The sequence below is a fragment of the Homo sapiens genome, chromosome 7 (genome assembly GCF_000001405.40).
Source record: "Homo sapiens chromosome 7, GRCh38.p14 Primary Assembly".
NCBI lineage: Eukaryota > Metazoa > Chordata > Mammalia > Primates > Hominidae > Homo > Homo sapiens.
Genome location: NC_000007.14, coordinates 115,664,569 through 115,685,373, shown reverse-complemented (window position 1 = coordinate 115,685,373; position 20,805 = coordinate 115,664,569). Strand labels below are relative to the sequence as shown.

Sequence of the window (20,805 nt, the reverse complement as noted above, 5' to 3'; positions counted from 1 at the left end):
ATTGCTAGCCAAAAACAGAGGTGATAAATAATGAATGATAAAAAATTCGATTCACTAGAAAGATAAAACAATTTACAATTTTTATACTGCTAAAAATATGGCTTCAAAATATAAAATGAAAAATATTTGAGAACTTGAAGGAAAAATTAAGAAATGGTAGATTTTAAATGCTATATATTATGTTCTTTAAAAGGGACCTGACAAGATTTATGAGGTCCTCAGTAAAGTTAAAAAATAATGAAAAACCAACTGTGATTGATTTTTTTTTTTAACAAACTGATAACCTGCTATGGAATTCTGAATAGACAGGCAGCTTGAAGATAAACCAGTAAAATCACTGATTTTAAGAATAAAGGGACTGAGGTCCCAGCAGGTTTGGTAATAGACCAAAAGGTCAGACAAGGTATACTGGCAAAAGTAGGACTAGAAGCAAATTAACCGATTTCAAGGTCAGAATTTTTTTCTATATTACTATCAACAAATTAAGGATATTTGCACACAGCCCTATTCTCAACTGCAGTTCTGTTATAACACAAGTATACTGGTTTTATTTTGGTTTTCTTTGCTTCCTCACAACCTCCTTTATCTTATATGGTGAGAGAAGTAGATTTGTGTTAAAATAAAAACTGGAAGACACAGATATTTCAGATAGGATGAAATGAAAAAGTTGTAGATAGCAAGTACACAAAACTAACTTGGAATAAGTCACAGAAGTTTAATTTTGGTATAGAATATTTTCCCCTTTAAAGTTAAATATAAGTAATACCACATCCTGTTCTGAGAATAAATGCTGTAGATTCTGCTGGAAATTACTTACAACTGGAAGTAATCTGGACACTATCAGAAGTCTGAAGAATCCTATAATCTCTTTCACTATTCACATCACCATGTGATGAAGTTTGTAGGACTGGTGGAGAAGAAAAATGTTATAAAGAAGGTTACACTCTTTACTTATGGTATATTTATTATTTGGCCTTCTCTAACCTGGTATCCTTTTGACCACTCCTCAAATACGATTATGAAAAATAATTATCAAAAAAAGCTCACTCTTAAGAAATCCAATGAATATTTTTTACTTCTAATTTGACTTACTCTCCCTTGGTCTTTAAAGTTATTTATTGCTTTCTCCTTCTTAAAGATGTCTTTTCCCTTGGTCACTGTGATATCATTGTTTTCAGATTTTTTTTTCAAAATGGCTCTTTATATTACCAAGAATCAGTTTTCTGACTTCGTATTTCCTTACTCTACATTATCTTCCTTTGAAAGGAAAGCTCACTATGAGTCTTGGTTTACATGAATTGAAACTGGACTATTGATATTTATTCAGATTAATATACAATGTCATCTTCTCTTGACTTAACTGCACAATCTCTGCTCTCAGTTATTTTTTCATTCAATCTGTTTTTCATAAGGTGGCCAGATACATAATTTTTAATGTAGAAATCTAATCATCACATCCTTACCCCAAAATCTTTAACACCTTCATTATTACAGAGATATTGAAAAAAAAATGAAAGAAAAATGTCTCTTCAGCCCAGCATACAAAGCCCTCTATCATCTGTCCTCAGGTAAACTTTCTAGGCTTCTCTTCATGATTTCCATGATTCTACACCATATATATTATACTTGAACAACACAAGACTACTTACTATTAGTCTCCAGACATGCTATTCTCTCTTGCATTTTCATAATTTTGGTGTTTCTCTCTCCATGCATAAAATCTTTTTTTTTAAATGAAATTATCTGCCTGGTAGGCTACTTATTGCTCATTCTTCAAGGATTAATGCATATGTTATTTCCTCAGTGAAGTCCTTCTAGGCTCCCTCAGGCAGGGTTAGTATTCCCTTCTTAATGTAGCCAAGACGCTTTATTCCTCTCTCTATTATCGACTTTCCACATTGTATTAGAATGCTTTGCTAACTGCTTCTCTTCCCCAGTGGACTGTGAGCTCCTGGAGGACAAGGCAATGAAAGTAAAGCAGAGTGCCTGGAACATAGCGAGTACTGGATAATTTGATGTTGGCTGCACAAATGGCCTGCTCTGACAACTGATGCCTTGATTGCACTGGTGAATGCCTAAGAGTTTCTGGAATTGAAGCTCATATCCTATGTTAGCTGAAGAGGGTGTGTCTGTAAGAGTAAAAGGGCAATAATTTGGTTTAAATATAAACCAAATAAAATATAATAAAAAGTCAACCCCTTTTATCTTTCTGGCTTTTCTGTTTCCATAATTCTATCTATGATGTAGGTGTCACCTTTTCCTTTGAACCCGACATCCAATCAGTCACTACCAATTAGACTATCACTGAAAATAATGTATTATCACTTTCTCACTTTCTGAACTATGGTTTACATTCATCCTTGTTTTCCGTCCTTTTTATTCCCACCTGACTTGAGACTAGACATTTCCCATTCATATTGTTATCACAGTCTCCTAATTACAAAAGTTTTAAATTTCACCCCTTGAGCCATAACCCATCTTATATATTCTATTCCTAAGGTAAAATATACCTAAGTGGCATTTCAAACGAATCACTCCCATATTAAGTACAATAACAAAAACTTCCAATGATATTAAATAAACTACACTAGCCTAGTATTCAAATTCTTCAGTACTCTGGCTGTAGAGCTCCTTTCTGGCTTCACTTTCACTATGACCTCACCGGATCTTTGTTTGCAGTCACACTGGTAGCATCGTGAAGCAGGAGCCATGTCACCTGTAGTCAACATTCTATCATCACCACATAGCACATTTCCTAGGACATGCTAGATATTCAAAGCTTGTTGAATAAATGACTGAAAGGATGCAGAATTTTCAAAATTCCCTCTTCAAGTACTTCTTCTACAGGAATGGGTAGAGTGGGAAGTGAGGAGACAGGGTGGGTATGTGGGTGGGAATAGGGCAAGTGACTTAAGCTGGTGTGGGTGGGCTCCAGTATCCACTTCTACTTCAATCAGAGCAACTCAACAATGCTACATATATAAGGTATGTATTGGGGTGTTAGTATACATTTTCATATTAAAAACAATGAGTTTTAAAACTGATGGATCACTTATTTTAATAAAGAAAAATGGGTAGGGCTTGGAAAAAAGAAAGACCACTTAGTTTAAACTCTATGAAACTCAGTTTCCTTTTTTATATCATAGAGTTATTATGAGGATGAAATGAAATAATGTATGGAAAGTGCCTGGCTCATGGTATGAAACTTCACCTTCCTTGTACCAACCCACTGCTTTTGCCAGCAGAGCCAGGACTAAGGTGAGGCAAGTGAGTGCTAGGGGCACAAAGTTTAAGGGGATAATCATTTTCAAGGTCATGCACTTGACCTACAAGTCATGACACACTGGCCAAACTAGACTTCAAACCTTTTTCAAACACATTGCTTATTCTTTTCACCAAGACTATCCTCCCTGCCAATTAAACCTAAGGAAAGCCTACCTAGAATACAACCCTTTCTTAATAAAAGCTTCTGCAGTCATCCACCGAGAGTGTGTATTTCATTTCTCTTTCTCTCTCTCCTAAATTCCAGTGAATCTTTGACTTATATCTTTCAGGCTTAACTCTTTCTGATAATAATAATAATCCTGCCTAGCTGCCCATCTTAGTGTATACATGTCTTAGCTCACCTGCTTGATATATGTGTTCTCCAGAATAGGATTCTATCTAATCTCAATTTATTTGGCCCTCTGTATCTAGTAAGGTAATTTTCACATAGTAGTTTCTCCATAAAACAATTGGGGATTAAATAAATATTCTTCTTATTTGGAGATAAAAGTGTATGTAACTCTTATACGTTGGGCTCTGGAGAGCTAGCTACTTTGGCATATGGATATATGGATTGAAGCCATTTCCAAACCTTCACTAAATCATTGCAGGCTTTTTATTTTTTATTTTTCTTAACATAGAAGCTTTTATTCATTTTGACCATCATTTACTCAAAGAAGCCTCAGGAAGCCACGGTTCTCTTTCTACTTTAGTGGAGCATTAAGTGGTCTGTTTCAGTGTCATGAACCTGGCTCCATGTCCTGGCCTATCTTCCTCCTGCTGTCCCCATGGCCTGTTCTAATTGTCTGGCCTCACACAGTCATGGGCCTTGGTTTTGTCTCCCTGGTAATGGCCACCCATAACCTGACATGTATTTGCTGTTTTGCTTCAATGAGGATGAGAGCTCTGTCTTCTCCCCGCTAAGCTGTGTTCTGCCTTGTAAATTAAAATGCTCCTCCCATTGCTCAGTCCTGGGATTTGGTGCTAGGCAGCCCCTGCTGCTTAAGGTAATTAATGGATCCTTGGGGCCTACACCTGTTTCTGTGCTTAACGCAATTCAAGGCAGGCCCTTCATTATCAACTGAACACAACTGTTGGAAATGGAAGCAGAGAACTCTGTAGTTGAAAGCTGCTTCCAAATGAAGAGTACATTAGCACCGGGAAGCACTGCTCCAATTGAGCTGATCTGCCTACCACTCACTTTTCAGTGATGTGTGCTGTTTCTCATTCATGTTCAGATAGCTACTCACCAGAGTTATTCAAAACTTAATTTTAGGACTGAGGTGCGTCTTAGTGCTTCTTTCCATATCTGCTCCTCCTCTCGGCAAAGACCTCTGTCACTCATACTGAGTGCCATATTTACATGCCAAGATAAAAACCACACACTCACACCATCTAAGAAGGAAAGTGTATTTTTTCCTTTCAGCAGCCAGATTTTAAAAACAAACAAACAAACAAGCAAAGCAAACAAAAACAAAATCACAGCTGCTTATCCCATGATAAAATAATTGACTTAGCAAAAAGACAAGAGATGTAGTTAACTCAAAATTGTTTTCTTTCAGAGTGAAAGGCATGTTACCAGTATCCAGCTACTCTAACTGTAGTACTGGATAGCTTTCATTGTATACATTTTAGTGTACTTTAATCAACTTCAAATTGCAATGCTTAGAAAAGATTATTTTTATTACATATTTTGTGGATTGATAGTGATAGCTAATCCACTGTGTTTTTGCTTCAGCCCACTATGAAAATTGGATATTGAATCAGCTGGGAAAATGAATTCCTTACTGAGCATTTCAACTTAAACTTGGGTTCCAAGTGGATTAAACAGATGATGTTGTAACACTGTTATCAGCCTGACAGGAAATGCATAGAGACACCAGTCCTCGTTTCTTAAAGTGGAGGAGCCTCAGCTAGCAAATTGCCACTTATTAGCTTGTCTCACCTATAAAAGAGCCATGGAAGAGAAGTGCAAGAGAACTGAAGTGATTTCCTGATGACAGCAGGGGGTGCTCTCACTAGACTGAAGGACAGATACATTCTCAGAGCAGTAGGAAAGGAATAACACATTGCCTTACTACGACTCTATATGAGACTTTAGAAGTGCCTAATACCTGCCTGGAGCAAAAGAATTAATATGCTCTATTCCACGGCTCTGCCGTCTTCAACTTTGATAAATACTTAAAAATGTATTTTTGAAAAGTCATTAACTTCTGGAATATAGGATTCAGCCACCACACTTAGAATGTGTGAAACTGTGGTGCAATTTGTAACAGGATGTACACCACATTTTTAATCAGGGAATTGTGTTTTTTAAAGCTAAGAGACCTGTAGTGAATTAAGGCATTTGGCTCAGCCAAACATTCCAATCACGAAACGATCGAAGAGGAAATCTATAGAATCTTATTATAAACTTACAAAAAGGATAACTGTGGGTCTCGGCCATAAACTGAAGTAATACAGATGAACTGGACACATATGTTGCACAATAGGTGATTCAGAGCAATATAGCCTATGCTGTTTTATGATATGGAAAGCAATCAAATCTTATTTGCAAAAAATTCAGATCAATTGAATTTTAATGAGAAGCAGGTGCTGGAGTGTAGCATCCACAAAGAATTCTGGGAATGTTTAAAATTAGTCCCATATTTGCCAGGAGACAGTTGGGTACATAAACTTTTTTATTTCTTGATTCATGGGTCTATTCGGACTGTAGATTGCTCTGCCATTCTGAGTTCAGCAATTTGAATAAATTATGCTGAAAATCACTTGGTGGTTCATTTTGTGTGAAATTATATTTTCGCTGGAAAGGTTAATTTTGAAGGGAGCTTGAATGGCTGGAAATTGTGCAGCTGGGGAGTCTGCATGTTCAGAAGGCAGCAGTTATTAAAAGCGATTGCATTTCCTCCCAGATTTCTCCTGAGACCAGAATCAGTGGAGATGTTAAACCTTGCTTGACACCCCAGTTGGATAATTGTGGGTGTGGGAGCTAATCAGCAGAAGATGTCTCCTCAATTTAAATCTTGTCAGTTAGTCAAGATTAGGGCTTCCTGTACCGAGCACCATTAGGTTGGTTGCATATCAATGTGCTTGGAAAGATGTCCACAAAGCCCAACTGTAGCAGTAAGAAGTTAGTGGACATCAAAGATTGAGAAATTAAGCCACACCACTCCATAAACACAAACTGGAGGGCAAATTGGCAAAAACAAAGAAAAAAATAGATCCATGGGTGCGTATAAAAGCAGTATTATATCCACTCAAAGAAAGCAAACATGTTACCTAATCTTAGAAGTCTTTATGGCAGGTATGGGCAGCAATATCAAGCCAAAGCCACAAATGAGAACACTTGTTGGCTCTCCCTTGCAATGAAGCGAGAGAAGGCAACAGAAATGGAAATGAAAATGAAGACTTTTTGTTTCAAAAGCAAAACCAAATTTTTCTTAAAAAAAACCACAGCGCAACACATCCCCTTCTAAGCTATGCAGTATGATTTGAGTTGTAGAGTAAAAGTCCGCTGAAATCTCAGGAAAAGCACTCTTTATTCCATTTATTTTTCAAATGGGAGAGTCACAGTTTAAAACGTTAGCATGCCGCCGTCGTCAGATGAACAGTGGTTGTTAAGGCATGCAGGCCCTCATCCAGATATTTAAAAGTAAATATTTTATCTAGGGAAAAGTATGGAATTCATAATTTGATGGCACAAAAGGCCAATAATATGTGGCAGCATGATCTCATTAGAAAATGGAATTTTAGCCCAGTGTGATCTGAGTAACTAGTTCCAAAATGTGCAGTGAATTTTATAGTTAGTCTGGCTGGCACTTATCCACGCTCCTGCATTCCCCAATGGTAAATATTTGTAACAGATTTCACGTTGTAACACAAGGGCTTCTTTCACAGAGCAGGTCATGTAATGCTTCAAAAAAAAATCAAGGCCAGGGCAAATAAACAAAAAGTCACGCCAAGTTCACCCCTCCCAAAGACGCTGAAGCCAGGCTGTGCATACAAACTTCACTTGCTACTCATCAGCATCAGCAATTTATGGCCAGATGGTTATAAATTTACATTCTATAAAATTTTAGAGGATGTTATTTTTTCCACTCAGTTTGTTAATTAACTTTCAGTCTTTTTATTTCCTCAAACGTAACAGTTCACTCTTTTTTTTTTTTTTACTAATGATACAGTATTATATTCTTTCCTGTCTCATAGCACACCTATTCAGCAAGACCTAAAATTTCATGAAAAGGATATAAAAAAGCTTTTGCAGCCACCAATACTGGGAAACTTCTTCTTCTGAGCATTCTTTTGCACTCCTGAGACAAACCACAATGGACAGGGAACCATTAAAATATACTGACAAATTAAACTGACATCAAATTCAGCCCTTTATGCCATTCTTGAAAAATCTCTTCCCCATTACATATATGTATACATACATGCATATAGTCAAATTAAAAAACTATACTGAAAATTCTAGACGTTTCTTTTTTTAACAAAAAACTCTACAAAATCTTTATTATCAAGAACTACTTTTTTTTTCTTCAGCACTAAAAACTGTTTTAAAACTATCAAGGAAAGAAAAGAAATGAGGATGAAAGAAAGGAAGAAACTAATCTTAGAGCTTCAAGTTGTAGAAATTCCATTAGTGTTTGTTAGTATTTGAATCCTGACCATTTAAAACTGTCTTTTAGCTATATATTTGTGTTACAGAATACTAATATTTACTTTTGTTATATACAAATTAAACAATAAAATACCTTTTTGATATAATGTTATATAGGCAGAAGATTGTAACAAAGGTTATAATATTTTAATATTATTTCCAGATTTCCCCTGTTTTTAAACTCAAAGCATGTAGGTAGGTTGGGAAGGTAGACACATTTTATGTGGATTTCTTTTGGAATATTTTTCATTAATAATTTCTAATGGCAAGTTTGTTATAATGTTGACATTTTCTGCATTTCATAGAAATATACCGAAAAACATTTTATAGATGCTGTGTGTGCAGAGTAATTGATTAAATATTTGAAATCATAAAGGAAAATATACTCCTGGGGTCACAAGATCCTAAAGGGCACATTTGTGTGTATTTCTCTCAGCTCTCACTTTTTACAGGTATATCAGGCGAAGAAGAGTTCAAGTAAACAGTCTCTAGGTGTGGATTTATGCCAATATGGTTCTACTCTGAATGTTAGCGAAAACTAAATTTGCTTATTTTCCAAAGGTTAGCTAGCCACAGTTGTGGCCCTGAGAATTTGAGACTAAACAGGAGCTGTGCTTTTTAACTTTGGTGCACAGTGCACGTACTTCTTTGTGCTTTTTACTGCACACACATTTCAATGGCTCTGAAACACATCTGAAATTGACATTCTGTACAGTAGAAAGAATAACCTAAAATAAGACTTGTTTCCTTAATAACTTTTTTCTTCAATAAAGCAATTAGTTAGAAATCTTTCAGTCTGGGTCCCTTAGATGGACTCCCTGCCCTCCCAACAGCAGATTTGGATTTCATTCTCTTTGCAAAATTTGGGGCCTGAAATTCTGGGTAATTGCCTCCTCTCACTGGATCTTTTTACCTGTGTAGACACAGACAGCTCTTTCTTTTAAAGACTGTCACAAATGAAACCCAAATCCAAATAATTGCATTGTTTCTTTTCTAAAAGATGGAAAGCAGACAGAAGAGAATCAAAGTGAAGTACATATTAAGGCAGATCATTAGGGAAAAGAAACAGGATATAAAAACCTGACGTGTCTGTGGCAAGATCCTGGCCACCTAACTTATTAACGCAGCGTCCATTGTGAGATGCCGCAGTTCCGTGCAGTCAGAAGATGGCTCCAGCGCGTTAATTTTGCTCCTGTTTCTAGCACGAGATTTAAGGGGCAAGATGCACTTCAGTGCTATTTTTCCTTTCTGATTTTGCCGTCGTCTCATTTGGTTCAAAACATCAAACTGCAGCATATATGGAGTTGTAAAGGGTCCATTAATATAGATGGTAAGATTTAAAAAGAATTTACCTGCTCCTTCTTCTGAATAGGCCATTCTTGAATATTTTGCATGCTTTGGCATAGAGAAAAGGGGCCACAATTGTACGTCATTGCTGAAAATACTACCTATAGAAGGCAGTACTTCCCAGTGACACTGTATAACTGGCAAAGCAGTGTTCGCTAAAATTATACTCTCATCTTAGAAATACTGTTTTCTTGATGAACTAGGGTTTGTGAAAATAATAGTGTGCAAACCGAAGACTTAATGTTATCAGGTGGAATAACATAGTCCACAATCATCTAACCTGTCTAAATTTACTGTCTTTCAGAGATGTCTGAGCAATTCTCTTTACCTCCTCTCACGTCTGCCAACCTCCAAATTCAGTTTCTAAATAAATATTGATTGATAGAAACACAAAATGGGTATTTAATCCAATTAAGAAGTCACAGCTTGAAGTACTTTATTAACAAAAGAATGATACATAAAGTTTATTACTTAACTAGTGACTTTAGAGGTCATTTCTCTGCCAGCCAAGTGCATAAAAAATTATAGGAAATTGTGTGATTAGCAGTGAAAGTGACATGATATAGTATGAGCCGTATTAGGTTTAACATTTAAATGCATTTAATGATAGACAGTAGTTGAATTTACTTTGTCCAAAATGCATGGTTTCTCAAAATAATATTTAAAATGCATACTTGTTTCATGTCATAGAAATTATTTTATCTAATGTGTTTTGTATCTTTGTTACCAGATTGATCTAAATCAAAGAATTTTACTTTTACTTCATGTTTTTAAGTATTTTGGTGGCTAAGTGGTGTTTCATTTTATTAAAAAATATATAGCAATGATCATTACTTCAGCATAGTTCTGATGATACAGACATTTTCAATGAAAGCCAGACAAAATAAATATGTTTATCAGTGATATTTTAGAAATGTGTTTCAAAACAACCTTTTACCTACCTTTCTTTTAAATAATAAAGATTTAAAACCACTACCAGTCACTATACTACAGTAAATATTTTTTGCTTTGAATTTTTGGGGAGGAGAAACAACAGCAATTTATTAGTAAAAACATATTTGATTTTCTTCAATTTATTCAAATAGGACTGTTAAACATAGTGTCCAACTTATACTTAGCCAGATTTACACACATACACACACACACACACACACACACACACACACACAGGCACACTCTCACAAATGTGAAGCTCTCTTTTCCCCTGTACATGGTCTGGATGAAATTGTTTGAAAAATGTCAATAATGAAGCCAGAGCCTCAGTGTAACCTAAATACGAACTTGTTGCTTTTGGAAAGATGGAAAATTAGCACCATTTTGTAGGACAGAGGAGTTAAATGAAGGAGGGTGATTCTTTTATTTCTGCTCTATAGAATGATGTACGCTAATCAGCAGGCAATGCCCTGTCAGTGAGCTAATTCAACTCTCTGCTAAAAGAAGTGTAGATTAATGGATAAAGGAGGTCTGTGGTAGGGTCACACTGATATGGATTCAACGTGTACAGCAGCTTGTCAGATGCCTGCTTGGATTAAATCTAACCTTTATTGTTGAAGGTTGCCATTTACCCTATTCTTTAGTGCCTCAATTTATTTTCTTCCCAGAATTTCCACATAAAAAAATTATCATCTATTTGCTTTTGAGAACAAATTTAGAGAGCTGGTTTCATTATCTGTAAGAAACCTGGAGGCACTAAATACTGAAAAACACAGAGAATATTTAAGGGACATATTAACTGATTTATTCCAATTCTCTATGAGAATGAGACTTAATTTTACAAAGAAAAGGCCAAGATAGTTATGTAAAATTATTTCAATTTAAGAAAACTTTGAACAAAGGACCTACTTCTTTTAGCAAAAGGAATCAGTTTTTTTAAAGATTTTTTAAAAACAATTAATAATGTAGAACCTGAAATTCTGAAAATTTGACTTATATCCAGCAAAATTACTTCCTGCTGTCATTTAAATTATGGCTGCCCTCTATAAAGGTGTCTTTAGGTGTATTAATTGAATTCCACACTATTTTCCAATAATAATCTGTAAAGTTCATCTGTCCATTCCTCACAGGATACCCACTGTGTATGAGAGAAAAACGTATCTATTTCAGTAGCTTAATTTATTTTCATGATTCACTGATAATGACTGTCATGCAGGTTGTACATCAGAATTAACCTTCATTTCACTGAGGTATATTACGATGACAGTCCACGACACATTTCACCTACACAAAGGGCATTTTCTTCCCTTTTTATAATCATCCTCAGTGGCTGAAGATTGTTTGATAGCCGATTAATTTTCGTAGGAAATCAAGTGCAGGCTCCCAAAGCAGAACTGGTAAGCGTTCTTTTGCTAAGTGACTTCAGCAGTAATTATGTATTTTTTTAATTGCATGCAGCAAACTTAAAATCCTCCATTTCTGCCTGATTTTATGACTAAACCTCTATTTTTATAAAAATACAGAACTTAATAAAAATTACCAAGATTAGGAGTCACTAATTTCTCAACAAGCCACTAAGTGACAGATATAAATTCACCTATTTGCTATGGTTTCAGTCAGATGATTTCATTGAGAGACTGGCATCATTTTGAGGCCGAGATCATTCTTGTCCCATTTTTCTAATTTCAAATACAACCTACAAGCTAAGATTCTCTATTGGCCACATCACTTTTCGATTCAAAGAAACAAAACAAAACAGGTTCTCTAACAAGCAAATTATATTCAATTCTATTGTTACAAATTGTGTGCCTTTGTAGAAAAAGCACAGTTTTGGATCAGTATTATTGGAGAGTAAAATTGTAGATTTTAATAGAGGATGGCAATGAATAGAGAAATTACCTGAAGAAATCCTTCTTTACGAAGTAGTGTATAAATCCTGCATGGTTTCATATTTATGGGATTAGTATGGAATTGGAACACTTTCCCTGTAGCAAGATGGAAGCAGAGAGAATGTATTCACTTTCTGCCTTCCTGATTCTGACACTAAAACTTTATTCAACCTCTTTCCTTCACCCAATTAATTTACAAAAATATTAATGTGCAAATAATCTACTTGACAAATGTAATACAAATCATGGGACCTCCATTAGAATATTACACACTTTTCCTGAAAATGGCACAAGTTACCAGGAAATTTTCTATCATAGTTCTGTTTTTTTTCACCTTATCTAATTAAGTAGATACATTTTTTTAAAAAAACAGTATTTGTTTTCAGCAGTTCTATTTTACATGGGTATTGTGTATTTTTACATCTTAATAATAAATCGATTCTTAAAATGAAAAAATCTATTTTGTTTTCGGTAGCTCAGAGATAGCATAGGTGCCATTCGTTGCTGCAGTTGCCATGCTGAGTGCTCATTTGTTATTGATTGGGGCTGTAAATAGTCATATAAAATTCACATAACAGATTAGGACCAGGTTACAGTTTTCCCATGAAGCTTGATGAGCTTCAACCTCATTTTTATACTCTGTGCTTTTTCTTTCATCAATGAGCTGTTTCAGGTATCATAGTCGGCTCTAGTTTCATCCTCTCTGTGAATGGTTGAAGACAGTCAAAAAGTCTCCATTATTCAATCAACTCTAAATAACGTTCTCTCATTTATATCCCCATTTTCCTACTTAAAATTATTAAAAGTACCCATATTTACTCCTTAGAAATCAAGAGAAGGAGTTTTGGCCTTCATCGGTTTATTTCAACTCTTTGTTAGAATGTAAAACCTGCAGCTGGCTTCTACTCTTTGGGAAAAATTTAGCTACTTAGGCTTGGGAAGACAAACTGCATTATACAGCATTGAATATGACTTATATGCAAAAATATTTTAAAAATCTGATGACCAGAAACAGATGCCTAATGTAAATAGATGAGAAAGATAATGACAATAAGTTCCAAAAATGTTTCTTAAAATTCTCAAAGTTGACATTTAAGTCTTTCATCTTTACATGATTCGTTCTATGAATCAGAGTTTGTTCTCTTGTAAACATTTTGGCAGAAATATTCCTTTCAGTTAGAAGGAAAACATCTCTCATGGCATTTTAGTTCAGTTCTGTCAGTTTTATCATCATGGTGACAGTAAAAAGAAAAATACATTATATCAAAAGCTGTCAGAACCTTGGAAATTATTACTGTCCCATTCAATGCTAAAATTCAATGGAGTATTGACTATTGTTTTTCCAAGGGAATCTATTTACTAATAATAAGGAGAACAAAGTGCTTAAGGAGAAATACAAAACATATAAGAATAAAACTCAAATTTCTTTTTCAAATTTTCTTTTACATGTAGGAATCAAAGAAGTGAAAGGCCAGCCTACCAATAGTTAAACGTAAGACCCTTTCTCGCGATCCTCCACTATGTATAGTTTGACAAGATTATTTGATGATATCTTCAGAAGTTTGACAACATTATTTGATGATATCTTCAGAAGTTTCTATTTTAAAAATGGTACATATATAAATATTGATTTACTGACTTGTAAATGGGCTTTAAAAGACAGAAGAAGGACGGAGATAAATGACAAGGGTGATAACATGTGGAGGCTGGGGGTTAAGATGATAATCTAAGAGATGTTAGTGCAACAAAGCAAATAAAGCCACAAACAAAAGATACAGCCAGCACTCCCAGTGTATTCTGATTATAATGGGGTCATGAACTATGATAGAATAACTGAGGTCCAAGACTGTCCTCTGTGGCAAAGTATGCCCTGGAGGTTGAACTGACACAAGGAAGGAAGGGAGGGAGGGAGGAAGGGAGGAAGTGAGGGAGGGAGGAAGGCAAGGAGGGAGGGAAGGAGGGAAGGAGGGAGAGAGGGAGGAAGGAAACTGGACAGAAATGTTCGGAAGTAGATAAGAGGAGAAGTGGGCAACAGGAAGGGAAACCAGGGGCACGTGGGCCCTTTGGATCCACAGCCTCTATTCTGATCTCAAACCCCAGCCTGTTACCTTATTTGTGAGAGCAGACAAGTGGCTGTGACAAAACGTAGCCTAATTTTCACTCATCCAATGTTTCGGAAATGATTTGTCTTGTATTAAGGTATCAACCTTCTATACCAAGTTAAGCTTATTTACCAAAGATTAGGGCAAAACAAAATGAGATAAAAATAAACACAAATATCCCCCTGTCCCTCTATCTTCTCTTATCCATTCTTCTGGCCACTTCCTCCCTCATTTATTTTTTCTCTCATGGAAAGATCTTGATGGCCTCTATACCTTGTGAGTTTGACTGGCCTAAGACATTTCCACATACAATTTGGCTTCTATGCAGAGGAAATGAAGTAATTATTAGATCTCCATAAAATCATAACTAAAGGCTTAAAAATTATAAAACCACAATCTGTATTAATCACTGGACCTAAGAAAGGTCCAGTTGAAAACAATACGAAATATAAGATTTTCGCAACATTTCAAAGCAATGCCTATTTAAAATTATAGTTTGCAAATTACAACCACTATCTCTGCTCTAAAATTTAAATATCTTAAAAACACGAGCGCCTTCAAAGTTGCCTTATGTTTTTATATTTGTAACTTAAGTAATATAAATCCACTGTCAAACTTAGTTAACATTTCAAAACCATACTCAATGATCCCTCTTTCCCTTCCTCCTTCTGTGTAACTATAAATCGACTGCTCCATCCATTCAGCCATCCATCATTCATCCATGCATTCATGTATCTATCCATCTGTATATCGATAATCGATCATGCCCAATTACTTGACAGAATTTTTCAGCAATTTTATTGTTAAAACTTTACTGATTTCTTTCTCATAAGCATATTACTCATATAGTTTGACATTACTGAAAAAACAGTGAGCTGTTATGAGTTGTTCTGCCTTATTTACAACACAGTAGGATATTAATATAAACTTAGCTGTTTGCTCCAATTATATATTATGACTAATTATTTGGAAAAATAATATTTCATTTTAGACTCCACTTGTAATTCAGAATATCATGTTCACAAAATACTCATGATATTGCCTTGTTATAAATCCTTACAATACTTTCTTAACATTCCTGTATGTTTCTACATGAAATTTTACAGTGAAGAAAGGCAAAATTCAATAAAAATCTCAAAAGCAAATGTGCTGCCATGGTGTTATTGACTTACAAATTTAAACTCTGAATTCCAGTAACAAAAAAAAATGCTTACTGGAAAATGTTTTTATGTATTTATCTGAGCACACCCAACTTTCACCTCCAATTGAAGCAGTTTCATTTACAAGTGTGCCGAATTCATTAAAATAAGCAAAACATATGCTTATTATCAAAAAATTGAAGACACAGTTTTTCAGTACAATTAATTATTGAATCCTCCAGTGATGACTTTCAGAATGACACTTCCATCTGGTGGTCCAAAGCTACATGACAAATTCTGTCATCAACAAAAGCAGAATAAAGTATGCTCTATTTTAAATTTGGCAATATTCTGATACAAATACATACAATTTATAATCTGTGGAATGTTAAAAAGTTATATTTTAATGGCAAGAAATAACCATATCACCTTTATATAATAATGATGCCATGAAATGTAATCCATAAAATACATTTACAATAGATTAAGTGGAATTTTCTCTTACTACTGATTTTCAGGATTAGACTAACATCTGCCTTGTAGTTATCAGGAATGCTACAGATTTTGCTACACGTATCTTATGTTTTAAGCATGTGACTTGATTTGTGTTCTATTAGAGTCCATAAAAGACTGAATTATTACACCTGTATATATTTCAGCTACTGCATAGGTTTTAGTTTAAATGAAACACATAGGTTTTCATTTAAATTGTTCAGTTAAAGATCGGCTTTTTGGTTTTATAGCACTATTTCAACTATGACTTTCATTGTCACTCATCTCAAATAATTTTAGCCACTATTTCCTTAAATTATTTGTTTCCATTTGTTATCATACCTGATATTAATTAGATAATCATGGGTTACCAAGTTTTATTATTTTGAAAAAAATCCTTCTGGAAATTTTTCAGATAGTGTAATAGGAAGGCAGGGGGCAAGAAGAATATTTAACAGTCATTCATATCTTAGCATGAATTAGCTTAATTAGGTTCATGGGTAGTGTTAGTATGGAACTAGATAGACATTAACTCATATTCTAGCAGTGCTGATAATAATGAGTTAACATTTATTGACTGCCTATAGGGTTCCAGGCACTGTGCTAATGCCTAGACATACAAATATTAACTCCTGTAGTCTTCGCCTTCATGTTAATGAGACTAAATTAGATCTGGGTGAAGGTAGAAGACAGGATGATATAGGACTGGATGTTGTTACTATGGACCATCTAGTGAGCCATACAGATGAGGACTCAAGCTGTTCTCTGCTACTGTTTGCCCCTGTGACCCAAGAAATGTACACACTGCTGTAGAAGTTTGGCATCTGCATTGGTAAAATGGGAATGAAAATATCTGTCCTGCAGAGTTTCAGGGAGGATTAAACGAACATAATGGGTGCTTAATCATGGTAGGTATTATTACGTGAACGTAGATAAGGACAGATTGATGGCAACGATATATATTTAAATATGATAAATGCAATGAAAATGTTTATGAACAAATTGGCAATATAAGAAAAAACCTAACTGTTTTGTTTCTTGTTGTAGCCGGTGAATATATTTTCAAGCAAGAAAAATATATGATTTAAGTTATATCTATTACAAGTAAATTTATCCATCTAACAATCTAAAGTACGATTATTCATTTTATTTCCTATTTTCAGTAGAATCCATCTCTCCTTTTATTATTAGCCAAGCTCATCTGGCTCTTGATAGATATAATCTCCTAACATGATGCAGAACAACACGAATTAGCCATAAGTGTTTATGGTAATAGTTGTGGATTACCTTTTATTGTCTAAGCCAACAAAAACAGCTTTTTTAAAAATCACAGTTTGTTACTCTGATTGTTGAAATTAAGAAAATGTTGCTTTCGTCAAGATATTTTGACCATATTATGGAAAAAAATAATAAAAATCTCTCCTTCACACTGCTATGTAAGAAATCAAATTATTTTTGACATCTCTAACAATGATGAGCAAACAAAGCATGTAGGTAATGATTGTATAACTTTCAGAAGTCGAAAAAGTTATTAGAACATTTAAAAAATGTCCTTCTTGACCCTAAGTACAATTGTTTTTGAGGGTAAAGCAAGAATGATATGAAGTGGGACTGATAATTTTGAATATTAATGTTTGCACCACAATTGAGTTAAAACAGTTAAAAGGTAGCCCCACTCCCAACCCCCAATGTGTCTGTGGTCTTCCAGGTAAGAGACAATAATGGTAATAAATTTGCTTAGTGGAAATGTTTTAAAAATACATTCTAGGATAAATTTTCACAAAAATCATTTTGAAGAAAGCCACGGAATTTTTTAAAATGTGTAACAACACTATTAATGTTGAAATACATGGCTATTAAGACAGGATTTTTTAAATTTTTTGGGGGGGTTGGAGTTTCACTCTTTTTGCCCAGGCTGGAGTGTAAAGGCACAATCTCGGCTCACCACAACCTCTGCCTCCCAGGTTTAAGTTCAAATGATTCTCCTGCCTCAGCCTCCTGAGTAGCTGGGATTACAGGCATGGGTCACCATGCCCAGCTAATTTTGTATTTTCAGTTGGTCTCCATGTTGGTCAGGCTGGTCTCAAACTCCCGACCTCAGGTGATCCGCTTGCCTCAGCCTCCCAAAGTGCTGGGATTACAGGCATGAGCCTAGCACCCAGCCTAGCAAACCATTTTTAATATAAGATGAAACCTTCTTTTTCTCAGTGTAGTATGTTAGTGTGTCTACAGTGAATACCTGGCTAGAAGACTGTCCAGAATGCCATATAATATAATGTTTGGTCACAATTCTTTGAGATAAATATTTCACAATTTTAATTCTGCTATTCTAAATACAATTATTTGATATACACTTTTAAAGAGTTGGAAAGGAGTTATCTGAAGTTAAGTAAAAGTTAACAGTTTTGAGAATGTTATTGCATAGAAAAATATGAATTTCTAATTCTATCAAGCTTTTGGAAAATTTAAAAATATGCCTTTCAAAGGCAGCACTAGATTTAGATTGAAATATAATTCATAAAATATTTTATTTATGTGTGTTAATGTTAAATTTCAGTAGTATTCTACACTAGCATAGTGCCTTACACACAGTAGATACTGGAAATTTTTAAACGTAATTCAGCTATTTTTCCTCAGTGCTATGTTGCTTTTCAAATACCTCGAATAGCTTGCAATTTGTCTCTTTTGTTAATTATATAATTTTAATCCATAAAATGAGTTGAACTTTTCTACACATTTATTGGACTAGATTTTTTACTTACTTTGCCATTTAGTATCCACTTTGACATATATAGGAATTCTGCTTACTTAGGAGATGGCTTGTCATAAAAAGGGAAGGAAAATCTGATCTAGTGTGCTAAAATAAAGGATAGATTCCACTGAATGTATTCCTAAATAAATTATTCATTTCAGGATGATACTATGTATTTTCATTCTAAAACATTTTATCTAACCCTCAATTCTGAGGTCATTCAAAATCTGTCTTGATAATGTTTATTCATATATTCATTTCTATGTGTGTATATAATATGGAAGATGAAATTTATATTACCATGAAATTTAAATCTAAGAAATTATGCCTTACAAAGTGACTAGAATTTTTGAGACAAGTTGGAAGTTCTGATTTCCTGGATAATAGCTGGTTTATTCTTAGAAGGAAAATAAAGCAATATATATTTGTGCCCCATCAAATATAGAATTATGGTCTCATTTTCTATTTTTCCATGTTTTCTCCATCAAAACAAAAAGCACTCCTATATAAATCCTAGAGGGCAGATATCAGTGGTTTCTAGCATGTGCTGCATATTATAAGGCATAAAACATAAGCTTTATCTGAAATCTGAATCTCCTGCTTAGTAGCTATGTGACCCTGGATGATTTCTTAACCATCCTGTAGGATGGGGATAATAATATCTAACTCACGGTTTTGTGGTTAATATTAAATACAATAATTCATGAAAAGTATTTAACACAGTGCCTGGCATGTAAATGGTAACTCATTATTTTTATTTGTCCATGACGCTAAAGAAAAAAGTTTAAAAAGATTAGATGCAGAAATACAAAACACAGAAACAAAACTCTTAAAATACTGCCAGCTCAAAGAAGAGTGTCCACTTAACATATTTGAAACAAATGTATTTTTTCTCAAAAAATCTAAATACTTGACTTGTTAGAACTGCAAATATATGTTAGATATGCTCTCAGATGTATTTTAGTCTTACTGATATATATTATTTTGAAAATATTTGCATAGCAATTCTATTTTTCACTTAAAGTAATTTAAACAGAATATATAAGTGTACCCATATTAAGGATATACACATATCATGCAGAAACAAACACACACACAAATACATACACACATATCTTACCACTGTTTGGGAACTGGAGAAAAAGAGTAGAGGAAAACAGAAATAATGATGTTTGCCACACTTGTGCTGTTAGTTAGTACAGGTATGAAAACAAGGAAAATGCTGCTGTGGCTGAAGTCATCAGGACAAAACATCTATATGTCTTTTTCCTTCAAATCTACATACATAGATATATTTATACTTTCATTTATGATACACATCTATGTATAGTTATACATGTCTACACATCAGAACTCCGTTTTAAAATTAAATGTACTTTAAGAGCAAGATCATTTCCATTTCCTAATGCTCAGGTATGCTAGCATTCATATTCAATGCTTCATCTTAATGAAACAAGGAAAAGATACAACCAAAGTACTATTCATGAGCAATTGGTTACTTAAACATATAATCTAAAAATAAATACGAGTATGGCTGGAGTTTTGTTGCTGTGTTTTGTATCTCTACAACTGATCTTTTTAAACATTTTTTTCCTTAGAAAAAAATGAAAGCAGTTGACAAATGAAAACAATAAGACTATCAATTATTTGTCAGCTAGAGTCAGTGGGTGAAAGAATATACCTTTGATATTTAAGAGTATTCATAAAAAGAGAGGTACAGTTAGAAGCTGGAACATTTCCCTTTCAAAACATAGAAATTATTATACACCTAAAAATCTAATATCAGAGAAAAGCCAAACCAACACAACAACAATGACATCTTGCACAATAAAAGTATACATCAGAAGTTTTTACAAAAACATACTTGAAATAAGTTTATCTTCTTTCTCTACTTCTGTTTTAACTTTGAGAACATAGAAAAGCAAGGGCGAATATTAGATTTGACATCTATTTACCAAACAATCATATTTTCACTAAAGTAAAGATATTTGAATAATGCAAGCTAAATTAAAATGCCTAAAAGATATCAGGTTAACAATATAAGTAATTATATAATGAAATGAATTTTTAAAAATTCAGGTTACTGTCATATACAGCTAAGACCACTAAAAAGTTGTATAGGAACAAGTGCACTCTCAACAGTTTTGATACATTTAGAAAACAAATACTGACATCTGATAAGTGGTTTTCAAACAAAATAGTTTGTTCATTCTCTTAAAATATATGA

At 34.2% G+C, this 20,805-nt stretch overlaps 2 long non-coding RNA genes across 3 annotated transcripts; one reads left to right on the top strand and one right to left on the bottom strand.

The window, feature by feature from the left end:
- Window positions 1–765: 765 nt before the first annotated feature.
- LOC105375461 (uncharacterized) lies at window positions 766–2,598 on the bottom strand. Of its 2 annotated transcripts, none has more exons than XR_927885.2 (3): window positions 2,511–2,598; window positions 1,650–2,129; window positions 766–907 (listed from the first exon to the last, which is right to left on the bottom strand). It is a non-coding gene; the product is annotated as an uncharacterized LOC105375461 (long non-coding RNA). The 2 variants fall into 2 exon arrangements; XR_927884.2 differs by having other exon boundaries at window positions 1,650–1,951.
- A 298-nt stretch (window positions 2,599–2,896) lies between these two features.
- Window positions 2,897–6,029, top strand: LOC100506489 (uncharacterized). The gene is made up of 2 exons (NR_187628.1): window positions 2,897–2,985; window positions 5,003–6,029. It is a non-coding gene; the product is annotated as an uncharacterized LOC100506489 (long non-coding RNA).
- The last annotated feature ends 14,776 nt before the right edge of the window (window positions 6,030–20,805 follow it).